Consider the following 18,824-nt stretch of genomic DNA (forward strand, 5'->3'; position numbering starts at 1 on the left):
CTGAGGCGTTCCCAGGGCGCCCGCCTCCCGCGTTTACATTTCTTAGGCAAAAAGGCAGCGGAGCTAAGCAGGGGTGTTTGGAAGGCGCCCGTTGCGCTGTTTGACTGCGTGGCTTCACTTGGCCCGCGTGCATCAGCCTCTCTGGCGGGGGATTCTCCCCGGACTCCGGCCAGCGCCAATCAGGTCGCGCGGTACCTGCCCCCAGCCCTGGCCACCTGGAGGGGCGATGAGGCTCCACGCCCGGAGCAGGGCAGTCCTCGGAGCGCCGGGGAGGCCGCGGAGCCTCACGTGTGCCGCCCCAGCCGCTGGCGCCCGGAAGGACGCGCTGCGACCCCGTGGGAGCCGAACGCGGGAGTCGCTGCCCGAGCGGAGCTGCTCAGCCGCGGTAACGGGTCGGGGCCTCATCGTGCAGGGGAGCGAGCGGAGGGGCGGGGCGGGGCGCGGGCGGGCTGAGGAGCCGCCGGGCTCGGGCTCCGCGCGGGGATGTGTCTGGCCACCGCGTACTTTCGAGGGCGCCTCAACACCCGGGTAAGCGCGCCCCGGCTGCCTCCCTCTGCCCACCGCGCCGCCTTCAGCGTAGCAGTTCCCCACTGGGTCTGGGTCTGCGCCCTGGCTCTCCCTCTCCGCGCCAGGGGCCTCTCGCTCCGAGGGGCGCGGCGACTCGGGGGCATCTCCGGCCTCGTGGCCAGACCGCGGGTGGCGGTGCTCGCGCCTCGGGGCCGGACTTGCCGGGTCCCTGCCCCCGGGCCGTGCCGAAGGCGCTCTACTCAGCGTGTCTGCAGCGACCCGCTTCTCTGCGCTTTCAGCCGGGCCGGACCTCACGCGGACGCCGCTGCTGCTGCTGCGCCTCGCGCCCGCCGCCACCCGGGGAGCATGAGGCCGGGGCAGGGGACCCGGGTAGGGTGGGGGCCGACCGGCGGGGTCTGCTGGGCCAATGCGCCGCCGTCGGTCAGTGAGTCCGGATTCGTGCCGGCAACTGTGGGCAGCCTTGAGACCGGGGCTCGGTTTGCTGGTGATTTTTCCGAAGTTTTACAAAATAAAGAGGGCGAAGTGCCTTCGCGGCGCGGCGTGGGCATGCAGGCGGCAGGGCCTGTGGGAGCCGGCGTCTCGGCCAGCGAGTCTGGGGCCAGGACAGCGGGGGTAGGACGGAGAAGCCGGACGTGCCCGTGGGGCCGCGGTGTCCTTGCTCCCGAGGCCCCAGAGCGGGCGACCGCACTCCGATTCCAGAGGGCCCTGCGCGCTCAAGGCGCCGGCCACACGGAAGCCTCCGCCCCGCGGCCCAGAGGGGGGCCTGGCCAAGCAGAGAGCAGAGCGGGCAAGCAGAAGGCAGTGTGGGGACGAGGCCCGCATTGGGCTGCTGGGACCCCGCCACCCGGCCTGGCCTGGGTGGGGCGGGTAGAGGCCGAGAGCCGCGCGCCGGGGCCCTGGGTGGGTGGCATCCTGGTTCTCTGCGGCTCCGAAGGCCGCGAGGGAAGTCAGGGGTGCAGATCTGTTCCCTCGGTCAGCGCCCTTTGGCCGACACACACCAGCCGTGTTTTCCTGTCACACTGGGGGTTCCTTTCCTCTGAGTGGAACTGTGGGGCCCTGGAAGTTTGCTAGTCCTGGCAAGTTTGACGTGACGGGGACGCAGTCATCCAACCTGCAGGCGGAGGCCCGCAGGCACTTTCTCCTGTCATTTCGCCCACCTGGGCCCTCCCCCAGGGCGCCCAGGGGGCCCCATCCTGAGATTCCGAGGGGGCCGCAGCGTGGCTGGCAGGACCGACGTCTGCGCAGTTGCGTCTGTGTCCTGCTTGGTCCTCTAGCAGCTGAGCCAGACACATGTTTTATGTCGTGTGGGAGACAAACAATAACTGCGGGCTTCAATCCCGCATGTTCGCTTTGCCTAAGATTCGCTGGAGTCTGTGTCCTGAGGGGAAAGGCAGCTTTCCTTCTGCCCTAATGAAATACTTGCATGTAACAGACGTTCAGACCCTGAAAGAGGTGGACCCCGGGGAAGGAACAGTAAAGGTACATGCTCTGAAAACAGATTTTCTTAGCCTTCTCTAGGGAGGTTTCAGTTCCCATGCCTAAGAGAATCTAAACCAGCAGGTACAGACAGGGTCATGCTGGCGTCCAGAGGGGAAGTAATGTGTGGCTCTCGGAGGGTCCTGCTGGGGCATCAGGCAGATCGGCAGCGGCCCTGCCAGGGCTAGAGATCTGCATTCAGTGACCTCATCAGGCATACTGTTCTGGAAAGGCAAGGTGAGATGGGCTCGTGCAGATGAGAGCAGGTCCCCCTGTTTGGCCCAAGAATCTCTGTTTTTTCTCTAGCTTGCCGTCTGTAACTGGAAATGACCCCGGCTTAGTTCAGGGAGTGCTTCAGCCTGAGTGCAAACATCAGCTGGTAACAGGGGAGCCTGGCCCCAGCACAGTCCAGTCCTCACCCAGAGGCCCACGCTGGGATTTTCCTGATCTGCAAACTTTACAAGGCTGAGGTGGATGAGAGGAGAAGTTGGGAATCTTCTGGGTGGCCACTTAACAAAAAAGTCATTTGACTCTGGTAGGGCCATTCCAGGGTCTGTCCATTGTGAAAAGTGCCCTGGGGTTTAGAATCTGGCCTGGTGATTATTAACATTAATGAAAGTTGCTAACATTTATTAAGTACCTGCTATGTGCCAGACACAAGGTTTTGCAAAATTACTATTATTTCCCCATTTTTCGTGTGATGAAACTGAGTTTGGGGGTAGGGTAAACGATTTGCCAAGATCATAAAGCTAGTTAATGGCAGAGCAGAGCTTGAAGCCCAGGTCTCTTTGGTTCCAAAGTCACTACTCCTTCCTCGGGGCCACTTTCTTCCAATTAAGAACAGACACACATGTGGTAGCTGGAAATCCAGAATTGTCGTGAATAAAGACTCTTACTTGTAGATCCAAGAGATATTTATAACCCCATTAGACTCTAGACTTCAGAAAGTGCTGGCCTGGTAAACAGCCAGCACTTCCTTCTCTCTGTCACTCAAGGGTTTAACTCCTACACAAAGGACTAATTTCTTATTAAGTACAAATCTTTCAACTAGCAAACATCAAAGAGATAAACCGTTGATGAGGTTGTAGAAAAACAGGTACTTTCATATATTGCTGCTGGGAGAGTAAATTGGTACAACTTTGGAGGGCATTTTTGGAAACACTTGTCAAAATTATAAACGCCCATGCCATCTGACCTAGTGATTCCATTTTTAGGAATTGAACTTGTTGTTAAACTTGCATATGGGCACAAAGATATATGTACATTATAGCACTGTTCGAACTGTGAAAGAACAACTTACATGCTTATCAAAGGGGGACTTGTTAAGTGTCTTATGGTACTTCCAGAGAGTCAAATAGCGTCCTATTCATTCATGGAAAAAAGAATTAGTAAGTTTACTATATAACTGATATGGAATGATTTCCAAGATATATGGCTAAGTGGAAAAAACAACATGCCTGGAGTGTTTATAATATGCTGCTGCTCGTGTTATACAAGAGGAAGGAGAGTCTTAGGGTATTTGCTTGTCTGTGTATAACTATAGACACAAAACCTAATCATACCTGTTACCTCCAGGAAAAGTGGCCTGTAAACCCTTTTGTACCTTTTGAATTCTGAACCATGGGAATACGTTAACTATTTTAAAATTCTCTTTGTCCGTCCTGTGCCTGGTATGTTCCCTCAAACACTTTTCCAGCTTAACATTGTGGGGTGACGTACCCCACCCCCTTTTGGTTGCTTGAGAGGTTCCCTTTGGATTAAAAGCCAAAGGGCTGTGAGACTGCACAGTGCCCATAGTATCTGGGCCATCCAGTATTCCTTTGAAATATACAGAGTTGTACTTGGAAAGCTGGGGAGAGGTGTCTTTGGACAGCAGGCTCTCTGAGCTGGGTAGGCAAGTTATGATCATCCAGCCTTGAAAACAATCTGCAGAAATAGAAACCACCCCTTTCTCTATTGCCCTAATGTTCCCTTGTACAGGATAAAGTGTCAGCGACTGGATAGGATTGGGTAAAGGAGCAAGAGGAACACTGTGACTGGACATCAGAAAGGGCAAAAGATACGTAGGAGGGCTATTTCTGGTGTTGCATTTGGACCTCAAAAAGGTGAAGAGAGAGATGCTTGGAAAAAAAAAAAAAAGGTTTGACATTATCCTAGAGTCTAGGGCTGTATTGCCCCAGAGAAAGAAGGAAGATTATTGGCGCAGTTGTCACTGCATCAATCAGTGTGTCCTACATGCCCCTTTGAGCATTTCTTATCAGCACAGATGCCCGGCTCAGTTCCCCCTACTTCCAAGCACCCATTTTTGCTGATCCCTCAGCCTGGAAGCCGATGGATACACAAAGGGGATGGGGGAGATATTAGGTACTGCCTTTCTTTTTGGGGTGGGTGATGGGACAGGCTGTTGAATAGCAGAAACAATGGAAGAAGGACTTGCTTCCAGCCACAAAAGATGGGTCCTCCAACACCATTAGGTGGAAAGCCTTCATTGAGAGCTTTCTATGTTTCAGTCACTCTGCTAAGCCTACACTATTTCATTGAATCTCTTTATCTCGGGTATATGTGAGAGCCCAGGCTCTTTGGTATCAAGCAGCATGTCTTTCTGCTCTCCCTTCACTGACTTTTCCATTCTCTACGCAGTAAGCTGCAGCACAGGCGCAACTGCATCACATGGGTGCTTACAGACCTGGTTTTGGGTTATAACAGTATGTGGCTGAGCATTGCATGCTTTGATGGATCAGTTGAAATTTCTGCAGTATGGATAGATTTGTACAAGGCACAGTTCAGAAACAAAGCAGTCAGTGTTCTGGGTTTGGATTTCCATTTCTCTTATTTCTGTTTCTGTGTGTGCATTAGGGCTGGGGCTGAGTAGACTGTGCATGTGATGTTCCTAGGGAAAGGGGGAGGAGGGGGAGGGGGAGGGGGAGGAGGAAGAGGACTAGGAGGAGGGCAGCTTCTCATTGCTTTGGTCCAGACACCAGTGGTGTGGAAGGCTGTGAAGATGAGCTTGTGAGGCCCTGTGTCTGCACCCAAGGAGAAAGGTCAGCAAGGTGGCCACTAAGCCCCAAGTCTGTGCTGGGAGTCTGTCTGTTGTTTGGAAAAAACAGCCTGAGACCTGAGAGCCTCTCTCATTGCAAACCTCCTCCCTCTCATTAGCCAGGGCTCACCTCTGACTCCGTTTCCACTTCAAAAGGAAACAGCTCTAATTTTCCCCAAATAAATTCTGGAACGCACAAGGCAGCTGCTTTTTCTTGTGCTGCTGTTGCCCACAGTGGTGGGAGCAAGAAGCTGGGTTGGGCTCTCAGGTAGGGCTGCCAGAACCCAGCAAGGAGAGGTAAAGTCAGGGAGCCCTATTAGTTTTTAAAAAAAATCACCTTAGGCCAAAAATAAAGATGTTTACATAGTATACAAGTAGTGGAGGACCAGTTTAACCACATCAAATTCAGAAAATGTCTGTTGTCAAAGCCCTGAGAACACAGAAGGATGAGCAAGGCATGGCCCCCAGGTTCAGGTTGCCCACGGGCAGTGCGGGAGAGGAACATTCACATCACCAGCAGTACTCTGCAGACTAAAGAAGCAAACACTAAGTAGAGGAGCAAGTGACATGCTGTCAGGTGCACAGGGCTAAAGTGAAGCAGAGACTGGCCCAAGGAACTCTGATAAATTATTAAGTCCGTCTTGGAGAAGGTGATTTTTGAACTGGGCCTTGAAGGTAAAGTAGTGATTTTGATACATAAGCTCAGGAGAAAGGGTGGAACTCAGACAACAGGTTGGGCAAAGACACAGGGTTACAGTAGAATACAGAGTGTTTTAAAAAGCCTTAGTAATTCGTCATTTACCTAACTTCTGCCACAGACATAATACGTGTCATTTTTAATTACTTGTAACATGAAACGTTTATATCCCCATAAAATAGTCAACTATGATTTTTCATGTGTGTGGTAAAATCAACAGGTATTGACAACAGGCATGTGAAATCAACATTTCTGTTGTATTTAAATATCCAGCTACTGTGTCACTGTGACTATTTCAGTGGGAAGGTAGCAGAACACTGGAGTAAGAGTGCTGGTGATGAGGATTCGAGTTCTGCCTCAGCATTTTATTTGTTTGTTTATTCTCTCATTCATCTACTCTTGCATTCCAAAAACATGATCTTTGTGCCTGGACCAAGTGGAGGGCTGATGATGGAGAGAGAGAAAAAAGGAAAAGCATGGTCTCTATACTCCCCAGGGACTCACAGTACATGGAAGAGATCACAGAAGAAGGTGGTAACCATCATAAAAGCAGGGATAAGGGGCTGTGGGAAAACCTAGTGTGTGCTCAATAAATAATGGTGGCTATAATGAATAAACAGCATGATAAGCAGTAGCAGACACCAACAAGAAGACAAATCAGAGGACTAAAAAATATTTCTCTGGATTTGGCCAGTGGGTCTCAAAAACTTGTTTATGTCATAAAACCCATGGAAACTGTGGGGCTTTTTGGAGAATACCATGAATTATTCATATATTAAAATAACTAAAAATAGGCCAGGCGCGGTGGCCTACGCCTATAATCCCAGTACTTTGGGAGGCCAAGGCAGGCGGATTGCTTGAGGTCAGGAGTTCGAGACCAGTCTGGCCAACATGGTGAAACTGAAACCCCACCTCTACTAAATATACAAAAAATTAGCCAGGCATGGTGGCATGTGCCTGTAATCCCAGCTACTTGGGAGGCTGAGGCAGGAGAATCGCTTGAACCTGGGAGGTAGAGGTTGCAGTGAGCCGAGATCATGCCACTGCGCTCCAGCCTGGGCAACAGAGTGAAACTCTGTCAAAAAAATAAAAATAAAAATAACTGAAAATACAATTTTGAGTTAAATCGAAGAGCACAGGTGCCAAGTGTTAAGAAAACTTTATGAACAGAAGCTTTACATTGAGAATATTCTATCAGCTTATTTATTGTCTGTGAATTGGGGAAAGACTACCAGGATTCTGTTTTAATGCAGGAAACCCTCAATCCAGCTGGTAGAACACCAGGGCTCCACAGAAGCGCAGTTTTGGCAATCAGAAGGTTGTTGATGACTTATCAAGGACAATATCAGTAGAGTAGTGAGGCCAGAAGCTAGAGGGGGCTGGGGCTGAAAAGTGAGGATTGCATTGTCAAGATGTCAGCAAGTGTTTACTGAATGTCACTGGAGATACAATGTTGGAGGCAGGGGGATAGGAGGAGACAGTCAAAACCCTACCCTCATGAAGCTTGAAGTCATTCAGGGGAAACAAATTTGTCACAAAACAAATATAAAGTAACACTGTGATAAAAGCTATAAAGTGGAGGTGCATGGTATTCTAAGAGTGTTTATCAGAAGGCCTGGGGCCATTCAGGAAGGAGCTGGAAGTCATCCTGAGGAAGTGATGATTGAGCTAAAACCTGAAGAATGAGTAGGAGCTAAGGAGGTGAGGTGACTTTGGGAGATGGGAGAGGATATTCCTGGAATGGGCAGAGACCATGGCTAGAAAGAATATGGCATTTTGAGGCCAGTAGAATTAGGGTTCAGAGAATGAGAGGGGAAATCATACAACATGAGCGGAAGAGGTAGGAAAGGGTTAAACATACCTCATCTTATCAGCCACATTAAGGATTTTGAGGTTGATTCTAAAGCAAGGGGTAGTCACTGAAGTACTTGAGCAGTAGGATGACAGATTTTCTATTTCAAAAAGGTCACTTTGGCTGTATAATTGAACAGTTTATTTGAGGTGGTCATGAGAAGATCCAGGGAAACCTGTTAGCAGACTCCTGATGTAGTCCAGGCAAAAAGTGACAGTTGTTTAGACTGGAAAGTTTGTAGTGGTGGTGGAGAGACATAGATGTGAGAAATTCGAGATGGTAAAATGGAGAGGAAGTGATGGTTTGGATGTGAGAGTTGGGAGAGAAGGGTGTGGAGGATGAGTTCCAGACTTCCAGCTTTGTACCAGTGGTTGGTGATGCCATTTCCTAAGACAGGAAACAGTGGTAAAGAACCAGGCTTTGGGGCAAACATTGTGAGTGAGTCTCAGCCAGGAGACTTTGAACCATCTGAGTGGATGGGTCAAGAGAACAGGTGGATATACAGGCAGGAGTTCAGAGGAGAGGTCCAGGTAGGAGCTATGCCTCTGTTAGTCATCAACATCTAGGGGTAATTGAAACCATGGCATGGATGAGAGTGCCTAGGGAGAGAGGGTGGGCTTCGAAGAGAAGGCTTGGAATTAAACCTCAAGTAGAAGAGGGTGGTCCTGAAAAGGAGACAGAGAAGGATGAACCAGAGAGATCAGAGAAAAACCAAGAGGGAGAAATGTCATGAAAGCCAAGGGCAGAGCATTTCCTGAAGACGAAAAGAGAAAGCATAGGTGCTGCTGAGGAGTGAATTAAGATGAGGACCTAAAAAGGTCCATTGGCCTTAGGAAAAGAGATCATAGGTGGTTTAAGCAAGAGGTCAGTGACGTGGAGGGCAAAAGCCAGATGTAATTGGTGGAGGAGAAAATGGAAGATGAGAAATGGAGGCTGCACGTATAAATAAGTCTTTCCAGAGGTTTGCTGTGAAAGTCAGGGAGAAAGAGGGTGATTTTGTTCTGTTTTAATGACAGAATTGAGGACCTGTAAAAGCCAGTGTATTCTCTAGCAAGCAGACTCAAAAAAGAAGAAAAAGAAAAAAAAGCCAGTGTGGAGAACATAGCTACATCATACTCAATGATGAAAAACTGAAAGCTTTTCCTCTAAGATCAAGAACAAGGCCTGGAAGAAATTAAAGAAGACATAAACAAATGGAAAGACATCCTGTGTTCATAGATTGGAAGATTTAATATTTTTATAATGTCCATACTATCCAAAGTGATTGGCAGATACAATGCAATCCCTATCAAAATCCCAACAGCATTTTTCACAGAAATAAAAAGCCCTAAAATTCATATGGAACCACAAAAGACCCCAAATAGCCAAAATCTTGAAAAAGAAGGGAAAGCTAGAGGCATCATACTGCCTGATTTCAAACTATATTATAAAACTACAGTAATTAAAACAGTATGGTACTGGTATAAAGACACATAGATTAATGGAACAGAATAGAGAGTTCACAAATAAATCCACACATGATACGGTCAACTGATGTTTGACAAGAGTGCCAAGAATACGCAAAGTGGAAAGGATAGTCTCTTCAACAAATAGTGTTAGCAAAACTGGATATCCCCATACAAAAGAATAAAATTGGGCCCCAATCTTACATCATACACAAAAAATCAATTCAAAATGGATTAAAAACTTGAACATAAGAACTGAAACTGTAAAACTTTCAGAAGAAAACATAGGGGAAAGCTTCATCACATTAGTCTTGGTAATGATTTCATGGATATGAAAATCACAGGCCACAAAAGCAAAAATGGACATGTGGGATTACAAAACCATAAAAGCTTTTGTACAGCCAAAAAAAAAAAAAAAAAATCAATAGAGTGAAAAGGCAGCCTATGGGATGGGAGGAAATATTTGCAAACTGTACATCTGATCAGGGGTTAATTTCCAAAATATATAAGGAAGTCATAAAATTCAATAGCAAAACACAAGCCATTTTTAAAATGGGCTAAAGACTTTGATAGATATTTCTTCAAAGAAGATATACAAATGGACAACAGCATAGGAAAAGATGCCCCAAATCACTAATTTTCAGAGAAATGTAAATCAAAACCACAATGAGATATTATCTTACACCTGTTGGGATGGCAGTTATCAAAGTATAAAGCAATAAGAGTTGGTGAAGATGTGGAGAAACTGAAACTCTTGTGCACTGTTTGTGGGGGGGATGTAAAATGGTGCAGTCACTGTGGAGAGCAATATGGAGGTTTCTCAAAAAATTAAAAATAAAACTACCATATGATCCATCAATCTCACTACTGGGTATTTATCCAAAAGAATTAAAATAAGAATCTTGAAAATATATTAGTACTCCCATATTTCTTGCAGCATTATCCACAATAGCCAAGATGGAAACAACCATATCCACTCTATGTATACACCACATTTTTAAAAAATCCATGCATAGTGGATTTAATGTGGTGTATACATAAAGAGGAACATTATTCAGCCTTTAAAAAGAAGGAATTCCTGCTATTTGCAACACAGATGAACCTTGAAGACATTATACTAAGTAAAATAAGCCAGCCACAGAAAGACAAATACTGTATCATTCCACTTACATGAGGCATCTAAAATAGTCACCACAGAAACAGAGAGTAGACTGGTGATTGCCCAGGGCTAGGGAGAAGGGGGAGTTGGTAATCAATGGGTATAAAATTTCAGTTATGTGAGGGATCTGCTGTACAACATTGTGTTTATGGATAATACTGTATTGTGCACTTCAAAATCTGTTAAGAGGGTAGGTCTCATGTTAAGTATTCTTACCATAATTTTTTGAAAAGCCAATGGAAAGGGCACAGTTTAATGGAAATGTTATTATAGATGAAAGGAAGGTTAATTCATAGTGTAGTTTCCTGAGAAAATGGGTGGACAGCATCAAACTGCAGTGGAGGGACTGGTCTTAGGAGAAAGAGGGACCACTCTCCTGGGGTAACTGGAGAGAAGGATAGGATAAGGGCAGATGTCAATAGGTGTGTATATGGTGGTGGGAAGGCAAGAATGTTACCATCTGATGAAAAGAAGGAAGTTGAAATGTAAATAGAAGGCGAGGCAGGATGGAGGAAGAAGTTTATTTTAGAGTGCGTGTGATGAGCACTAGGAGAAAGACTCGGTGAAGAGAGAAAGGGTGAGGACAGTAGAGAAAGATGATAATATTGGAGCACTTATTAACTGTGTGATATTGAGCCCATTTTCTTACCTAAAAAATAGGAATAACCATGATACCTACCCCACAAAGTTGTAGATGGTACATAGAAAGTGATTAACAAAGGTATGCTGTTGTTTTAACTTTTATCTTCACTGTCGGTGGCTAGCAGAGTGCTGACCACATGATTGATGTTAATATAAAATATTCACCAATTCTCCCAGGCGGGTGATACCTCAGAAGCGGAAGGACATCTCTGTATCTATCACTTGTCTTACTTCCCATCTCTGAAGCACCAGTCTCTTTTTTTTTCTAAGCACTTGGAAGCCTTTCCATGACTCAGTGCTGAAGGATTTGTATGTGGTGCTAAGCCAGGGTAGATTCTGTTAGGGGATTTAATCATACAGGCAGGGCACTAAGCCAGGGAAAAGGGAGAAGAGGTTTAAGTAATTTAAGAGCTCAATCTCTTCTGACCTTGCTTATATACAGAAGACTTTGGAACTCATTCCTCCAATCCTTTCATAATGTCTACAGAAGCCAGCTTTGCACCAGGCCTGCACCCGGGACTGAGACACACAGATGAAGAGGAATGGTTCCAGCCCTCATGATATTAATCTGATAAGATAAATGTTGCAATGGCTGTATCAGAAAGTGCTGGAAGTGCAGGAGAAAGTGCATAACTGCCCAGACCAAGCAGGGAAGGCTCCTCAGAGAAGCTAGTATTTGAGCTGGATGAAAGACGTAAAGATGAAATGAACATCTTTACAGAGAAGCAGGAAAATGACCTTTCCAGGCAGAGGGAGGGCCAAGAGGCTTCAAGAGATGGCAAGGGGAACTGGGAGCTGTCTGTATTCAGTGATGTCAGAACATAAAATGGCAGGTTATGGCGATGAGAGGCTAAACAGTAGCCTGGTGTACTGCCTGCTGGGCTAAGGACCCTGACTTGACCTTGTAGATGTGGAACCACTGTAGACTTTTTAACAGAGGCATAACACCTTCTGGTTTACATGTTAGAAAGATCACTCTAGGCTGGGCGCCGTGGCTCATGCCTGTAATCCCAGTTCTTTGGAAGGCCAAGGCGGGCAGATCACTTGAGCCCAGGAGTTTGAGACCAGCCTGGCCAACATGGTGAAACCCCATCTCTACTAAAAATACAAAAATTAGCTGGGTGTGGTGGCAGACACCTGTAATCCCAGCTGCTTGGGAGGCTGAGGCACGAGAATTGCTTGAACCCAGGAGGCGGAGGTTGCAGTGAGTGGAGATCGTGCCACCGCACTCTAGCCTGGACTACAGAGCAAGACTCTGCCTCAAAAAAAAAAAAAAAAGAAAGGTCACTCTAAAGAATTCTCCCACTCTAGTGGTCAGTGAAGAATAGTTTGAGTGTAGAAGTGGGGTAGAATGGGGATGGAGGATGGGGTTATAACCAAGATTCACTGTGATTGGGGGCAGAATGATTGGTCAGGAGACTGTGAGGGTGGTCCAGGTGAGGGTTGACCAGAAACAGTTTCAGTGATAAGGGTCCAAGGTGGGGCCATGGTAGTGGGTGAGTGAAATGAAAGGAAAAGCCACTGGCATTACGGAGATTTTTAAATGTTGTGGCTAGGATGTCACAGAGGCCATCTTTGTGCATGTTGAAACTTTCCAGGATGATGGCAGAATTTTTGATGAAGGGGAAACAAATGCTAAAGTTCTCAGTGAGTGGAGAAGAGTTGGCAGTGGGATCGGGGTTAGAGTGAAGAATAATCACATGGCACAGGCCTCAAAGGAATGAGGATTTTTGCAAGATAATGGAAATAGAACACTCTAATTCAGGAAAACAGAATTGATTCATGAAAGATTTGAACTGTTTCTTCTTATTTCCCAGGGGAAGCAACCACCACAAAACAGGTAGGGCCTATTTCCAAGATGCCAGGCCACTGAGAACTGCTTGAGGACCACATACAACCTTACAGATGAGTGCCCATGGATTCAAGGTCTCCGAACTTAGCTGAGTCCTCATGGTGACCCCGCAATCCATGATAATGTCTTTGGTGGGGTCCCTTTCCCAGGCCCCTCAGAGGACCATTCCCCACCTCTCTGCTGAAGTCTTGCTGACACTGAGGATAGGCTCTCACTGTGGCAAAGGAATTAGGTGAGCAGCACCCTTTACCCCAGGTGCTGATAGTTCAACACCAACCTTCTCTTAGCAGATGTGTCTCATTGCTGCCTCATTTTCCTTTTGGGCATCTACTCTAGGCCCAGTACTGTGCTGAGCACATTGGAGGATTCAGCAAAATACTAGATGTGATCCATGCCATCAAAGATCTCAAAGTCTTACCAGAAAAGCCAGACTGGTCCATCTGGAACAGCAGAAGGCAGTAATGCCTTGTGTAGTTTAAGGGTTAGGGTTGAGTACAGACAGTCAGGAAAGAAGGTAAATGTATCGTAACTATCTAGTCAAGAGGTAATGAGGAGCCAAATGGAGACAATGGTATTTTTGTCTAAATATAGACAATGTCTATAGAGGAAGAGACAAGTTCTAGAAACACTTAAGAGAGAAAATGTGCAGGACCTGGAGATTGATTGGATGTGAGGGGAGAGAAAGAGGACATGTCTAGGACTTGTAACTCACAAGTTACGGGGCTTGAGGACAGGATGGATGGTGGTGCCATTAATTAAACAGTAGAAATACAGGAGGAAAAGTACTCTGGGGGAAAGAGCAGGTAAATGCAAAGATCTGTTTTAGACCATTTGATTTGGAGGTTCCTTTGGGATATCTAAGAATACAACGTCTAGGAGTCAACTGGCAGTGCAGGTCTGAAATTCAAGGAAGGTTGAATCCAGAGATCTAGCTTTGGGAATCATCCATAAGCAGGTGAGTGCCTAAGGCAGGCATGGTGAGGCAGGGACAGAAATGTGTGGAAGCTCATGGTGGGGGAAGTGTGGAGTCAGGAGTCAGGGAGGGAACAGGAAGTAAGGCCTGAACCAGGAGAAGTAGTGTCATGAATGGTTGAAGAGGAGAAAAGTTAGGGATAACAAGTTTCCAGTAGGAGTGTCTAGTCAGCAGAAGAGTGTTTGGGAGGGGCAGTACGGGGGTCACTGAAGACCTTTTTCAGAAGCAGTTTCAGAATAGCGAGTAGGAGTTGGAGGCCAGATTTCTGTGAATTCAGAATAAACAAATTGCAAGGAAGTAGAGACAGCAAGTTTACGCAAACATTAGAGAAATGTTGCTGTGATTGGTACAGAGAACTGCAGCAAAAGCTGGATAATTGCTGTGAAGGTGTGGACACAGCAAGTATAGACTTTTATTCCTAGTAGCTTTGTTGGGAAGGAAAAGAGAGATAGTTGGGATAGTAGCTATGAGTGGGATGTGAGGAGAAGCAATGGGTTGTTTTTTAAGAGTAGAAGAAGCTTGACCATGTCCTTGGACCGAAAGGTAGAGTGGAGATGGGGAGAGGGGAAAGCACAGGCAGAGGGAGTACTAAGTGGAACGTGGTCTGAAAGGAGAAGAAAGCAGGATTAGATTACAAATGGGAGGCTGGATTGAGCAGCAGGAGGAATCTTTTGGCCTTTAGACATGGAGTGGAGAGAATGAGTTGGGGTAATCCTGGATATTTCATATTAGGCTGGAGATGGGGGTAGGAAGCTTAAATCATTTACCCCTGATGGCATCAGTGCCCTCCATGATGTAGACAAGGTTGTTTGCTAAGAGTGAAGAGGATTGGCTGGGTGCAGTGGCTCATGCCTGTAACCCCAGCACCTTAGGAGGCCCAGGTGGGTGGATCTCTTGAGCCCAGGAGTTCGAGACCAGACTGGCCAACATGGTGAAACTCCATCTCTATTAAAAATACAAAAATTAGCCAGGCGTGGTGGCACATGCCTGTAATCCCAGCTACTCAGGAGGCTGAGGCAGGAGAATCACTTGAGCCCAGGAGGTGGAGGTTGCAGTGAGCCGAGATTGCGCCACTGCACTCCAGCCTGAGCGACAAAGCGAGACTGTCTCAAAACAAAACAAAACAAAACGAAAAACAGTGAAGAGGATGGGGATCAGGTGGAGGTGTGAAAAGAACAAAGGTTTAGAATAGTCCCAAAGGGAAATGGAAGTATTCTGAACTAAAGGATTCAAGTGTTTGAGCCTAGACAACTGAACAATGATGACTGCATTGACAGAAATGGGAATTGTTTGGGGGAAGATGCTAAGGATGTTTTTGGAGCTGTTAAGTTCAGGCAGTGGCAGAAAATCCATGGGAACAAGTCCTACACATGTTGAGAATATCTCGAGGGTATATTAAAAGCCAGCATCCTCTCCAGCTTCCAGATTCTGCTAACAGAACTGCGTAGCTGGCTGCTAGGCAGAATCGGGTGGTGACTTCCTCACACAGAGGAGGCGGTAAAACCAATGAGATGTTCAGGAACATGCTGTGGGAGAATCTCTAAGCACAAAGTCATATAGACTTATCAATGTTGATATTATTATTGGATTCCTGATGCCTTGTTAGTTGAAAAGGTCATATGGGGTAAAGTAAGTAGGCTGGACAAGAACTCTTCTGGTACCTTTCTTTTTCTTTCTGTCTCTATTAGCAAAGCCGTGCTCAGAGAACATGCTGAGAAAAACAACAGAAAGAAAAAAAGGGTGAACGCCCCACCCCTACTCCATCACCTTTCTCTCTGCCCCAGCTTTATGTCTGCTCATACTTCTAGCATACTTCATACCTTCTCTTAGTTGGCAAATTTGTGTAGAGGTGAAGGGCACAGAGCTTCTTTGTCCACACAGACACAAAAAGCAGCTCCTTTCTAGACCATTTCCTTCTTCCACTCCCTAGCTGCTTCATTAGTGTTCCTGTCCCTCTGTTCCTCCGTCCAGGACTGACTTTTAGCAGGTATGCACTGGTAGGGCCATGCAGATTGTTAAAATTTTTACATACTTTCTCATCAGATGGTAAATAACTACTTCCTGGAGTTCCTTGAATCCTCCACCCCTGGGGCTGCCTCAGCCCCTTCCTTAGGACCCCCAGACTTCCCCACAGTCTAGCAACCAAAGAGATAATGGCTAGCACAGCATGGCCTCCTCACCCCAGCTCCAGCACTATGGTTGGCATTTCTGATTGATCATGATATGCCCTACTAGTTGTTAAATAGTTTTAATAGCACCCCTGCATCCATGCATCGATTTTTCCATTCAGCTGCATATTAAGCACTTACTGTGTCTCAGATGTTGGGCCAGGTGCTGGAGATACACTAGTGAACAAGTGTTCACCTGCCTTTGCAGAATGTATAGTGTAGAGTAGGGTTTCTCAATCTTGTCACCGTTGACATTTTGGGCCAACAATTCTTTGTCACGAGGAGTTTTCTTGTGGATTGTAGAATGTTCAGGAGCATCCCTGGCCTCTGCCCCTAGAGACTAATAGTTTACTTCCCAGTTTTAACAGCCAAAAATGTGTTCAGACATTGCCAATTGTGCCCTTATGGGGGCAAAATCACCTCCCCACTCCCATCACATTGAGAGGATAAACAGTATTATCAAACAAATGATCACAAAAATAAAAATACTGTTGAACAATATAAAGATGCTCTGGAGAAAACAAGCAGGCTACCATGAGCGAGAATGAAGGGAGACTGACTTTGGGTTCAACTATGAAGCAAGGTCACGTGGATGAAGGGACACTTAATCCAAGGCCTAAGGGACAAGAAGGAGCCAGTCACATGAGGGACAAGGGACCAAGCATTCCTGGCAAGAGACCATCCCAAGACCAGGAAGGGCTTTGGCTGTTTGAAGAACAGAAAGAGGGCTCATAGGCTGCAGATAGGGACCAAAGGGAAGGGAGGTGCAAGGTGGGACTGGGGAGGTAGGCAGGAACTAGATCCCCTTTTTTTTTTTGAGACAGATTCTCACTCTGTCACCCAGGCTGGAGTGCGGCGGCACAATGTTGTCTCACTGCAACCTCTGCCTCCCAGGTTCAAGTGATTCTCCTGCCTCAGCCTCCCGAGTAGCTGGAATTACAGGCACGTGCCACCACACCCAGCTAATTTTTGTATTTTTAGTAGAGATGGGGTTTCACCACGTTGGCCAGGCTGGTCTTGAACTCCTGACCTCAGGTGATCCACCTGCCTTGGCCTCCCAAAGTGCTGACATTACAGGCATGAGCCACCACGCCCCGCCTGATTTTTTAGGTCTTTGTAAAGCATGATATTCTAAGAGTAATCCAAATGTTCGTGCAGTGTTTTCAGTAGGAAAATGATGGGTGCAGATTCATGTTTTATAAAGATCATCTGTCTGCTGAGTGGCAGCCAGTTGGAAGATGGTTATGGCGGTCCAGGCGAGAGTCTGAGGGTAGCCTGGAGCATGCCAGAGGAGTTGGACGGTTATGGATGGATTTGGAATTTGCCTTGCTTGTTTCTGATGCCTCACATATATTGGTCATGCCCAGGGGTTGGAAGTACTAGTTCTGGGACCACCTTTACTTTATTCAGTAGCATTTATTGAGTGCCCATTGTATGCCCAATGTGTAAGGCTGACCCAGGGAGCCCAAAATCTATCAATATTAGAGACAGACACAAATGATAACCAAGTATAGAGGTGCCGTGATTCTATACGCATGAGGTGTTGAAGTCATGGAAGGGAAGCTAATCTAACTCAGGGGAAGGGGAGATCCAGGAAAACTGAGAAGGTGACACCTAAACTGATTTTCTTTAATTAGCTAACTAAGTAAAGTGGGGGAGAATGGGCATGCCAGGCCCAGCACAACCCAGTAAAGATCCAGAGGATCCCAACAGCATGGCAGGGCAGAAGCATCAAGTCCAGAGACAGGTGAGAGAGGAGACTGGAGCAGGTGACAAGGGCCAGATCATGTCAGCAAATGCAGCCAGAGGCTCCAGGAACAGCTGATGAAGTGGCAAAGGCAGGAGCAGAGGGGAAGTGTGGGGCCTCCAGCACTGTCTGGTCTTCTCCAATACATCCACCCTTGCTACCAGGGGCACTTTCCTAAAGTCTACAACTGCTTAAGACCTCTCAAGGTTCATCTCTTCTTGTATGTCCCACAAGGACCCCCGCAATCTGGCTGTGGAATGTCCTCTTCCCACCCCACTCCTGGCACACCAAGTGACGTTTACTTTTGCAAACCTGCCACTCTCTTCTACGCCATGTGCCCACACTCATGCTGCTCCCTAACTCCTAAAAGGAGAAAGCACAAGATTGTTCTCACAATTAACATAATTCATATCAACTGAAATGTTTCATAATAGGGGATTTGTTTAGCAAACCAGTAGCCATTTAAATGATGTAGAAACATATTTTACATGAAAAAATAGTCATGATATATTAATTTTAAAACAGCACATACATGGTATAATCCTGGTAAGTGTATGTGCATTTTGTGTGTATGAGGGTATCGCAAAATGTTAGCTATGCTTATCTCCAAGTGGACAGAGTTATAGCAAATTTTAGTTTTTATCTTTTACGTAATTTAACATTTTTCTAATACACAAGTATTACTTTTATGATAAGAAGCAAACAACAAACAAAGCTGCTCTAGGGATCTGGTTGGCAATGTTCACAAGAGCGATTGACCTCTGGCTGGTGACCGTGACTGCACATTGTAGACACAGCAGTCTTTTTCTCCAGGAGGACTGCAAGCGAGACTAATTCATTAAGTGCTTTCAGTCCCGAAGATGACAGGAGCCAGGAAAGCATAAAGTCTTGTTACTACGACAGCCGGTAGCCTTGATGTCTGTGTCTTTATTTATTAACTGGACTTTATGTATCCATCCTCCCAGAAGCTCCAAGAGCTTCCCAGCTGACTTTGATACAGATCACATTCTCAAAATAGTATAGTCCATCAGTCAGAATAAAGACAGGGCCGGCTCAACGAAGGATTGAAACTCCAAGAACACTGTCCTAAGAGGCAAAATGAATGTGGGAGAGAATGTTGACTGGGGTCGGTGAGGTGTTAGGATAATCGAGTATTGAGCAGCAAACTGGATTTTTGGGTCACTTCCTTTAAGCTAATAATGATTGAATGCCTTTTTTTTTTGCATCAGCTATTGAGTATAGCTCTAA

The 18,824-nt window shown here is 46.6% G+C and overlaps 1 protein-coding gene across 21 annotated transcripts in view, besides 1 other annotated feature; it reads left to right on the forward strand.

Annotated features, from left to right (window-relative positions):
* Positions 1-18,824, forward strand: part of FAM163A (family with sequence similarity 163 member A) — an 88,423-nt gene that overhangs the window by 15,263 nt on the left and 54,336 nt on the right. For 9 of the 21 annotated variants that reach the window (NR_138089.2, NM_001393421.1, NM_001393415.1 and 6 more), the window contains exon 1: positions 253-385. The exons of 6 other annotated variants lie outside the window; for them this stretch is intronic. The gene's annotated coding sequence lies outside the window, so the exon portion shown is untranslated. Of the gene's footprint in view, positions 1-252; positions 529-18,824 lie in introns of those variants that run through there. 6 more of the 21 variants (NM_001393418.1, NM_001393416.1, NM_001393423.1 and 3 more) reach the window with 2 other exon arrangements.
* Positions 1,550-2,242: an enhancer, noted in NCBI's record as "H3K27ac-H3K4me1 hESC enhancer chr1:179713723-179714415 (GRCh37/hg19 assembly coordinates)". NCBI's record gives its function as "activates a minimal SCP1, AML or CMV promoter by ChIP-STARR-seq in primed H9 embryonic stem cells {active_cell/tissue: H9 hESC(primed)}" and the evidence as "EXISTENCE:reporter gene assay evidence [ECO:0000049][PMID:30033119]".

Source organism: Homo sapiens, chromosome 1 (assembly GCF_000001405.40).
Source record: "Homo sapiens chromosome 1, GRCh38.p14 Primary Assembly".
Lineage (NCBI taxonomy): Eukaryota > Metazoa > Chordata > Mammalia > Primates > Hominidae > Homo > Homo sapiens.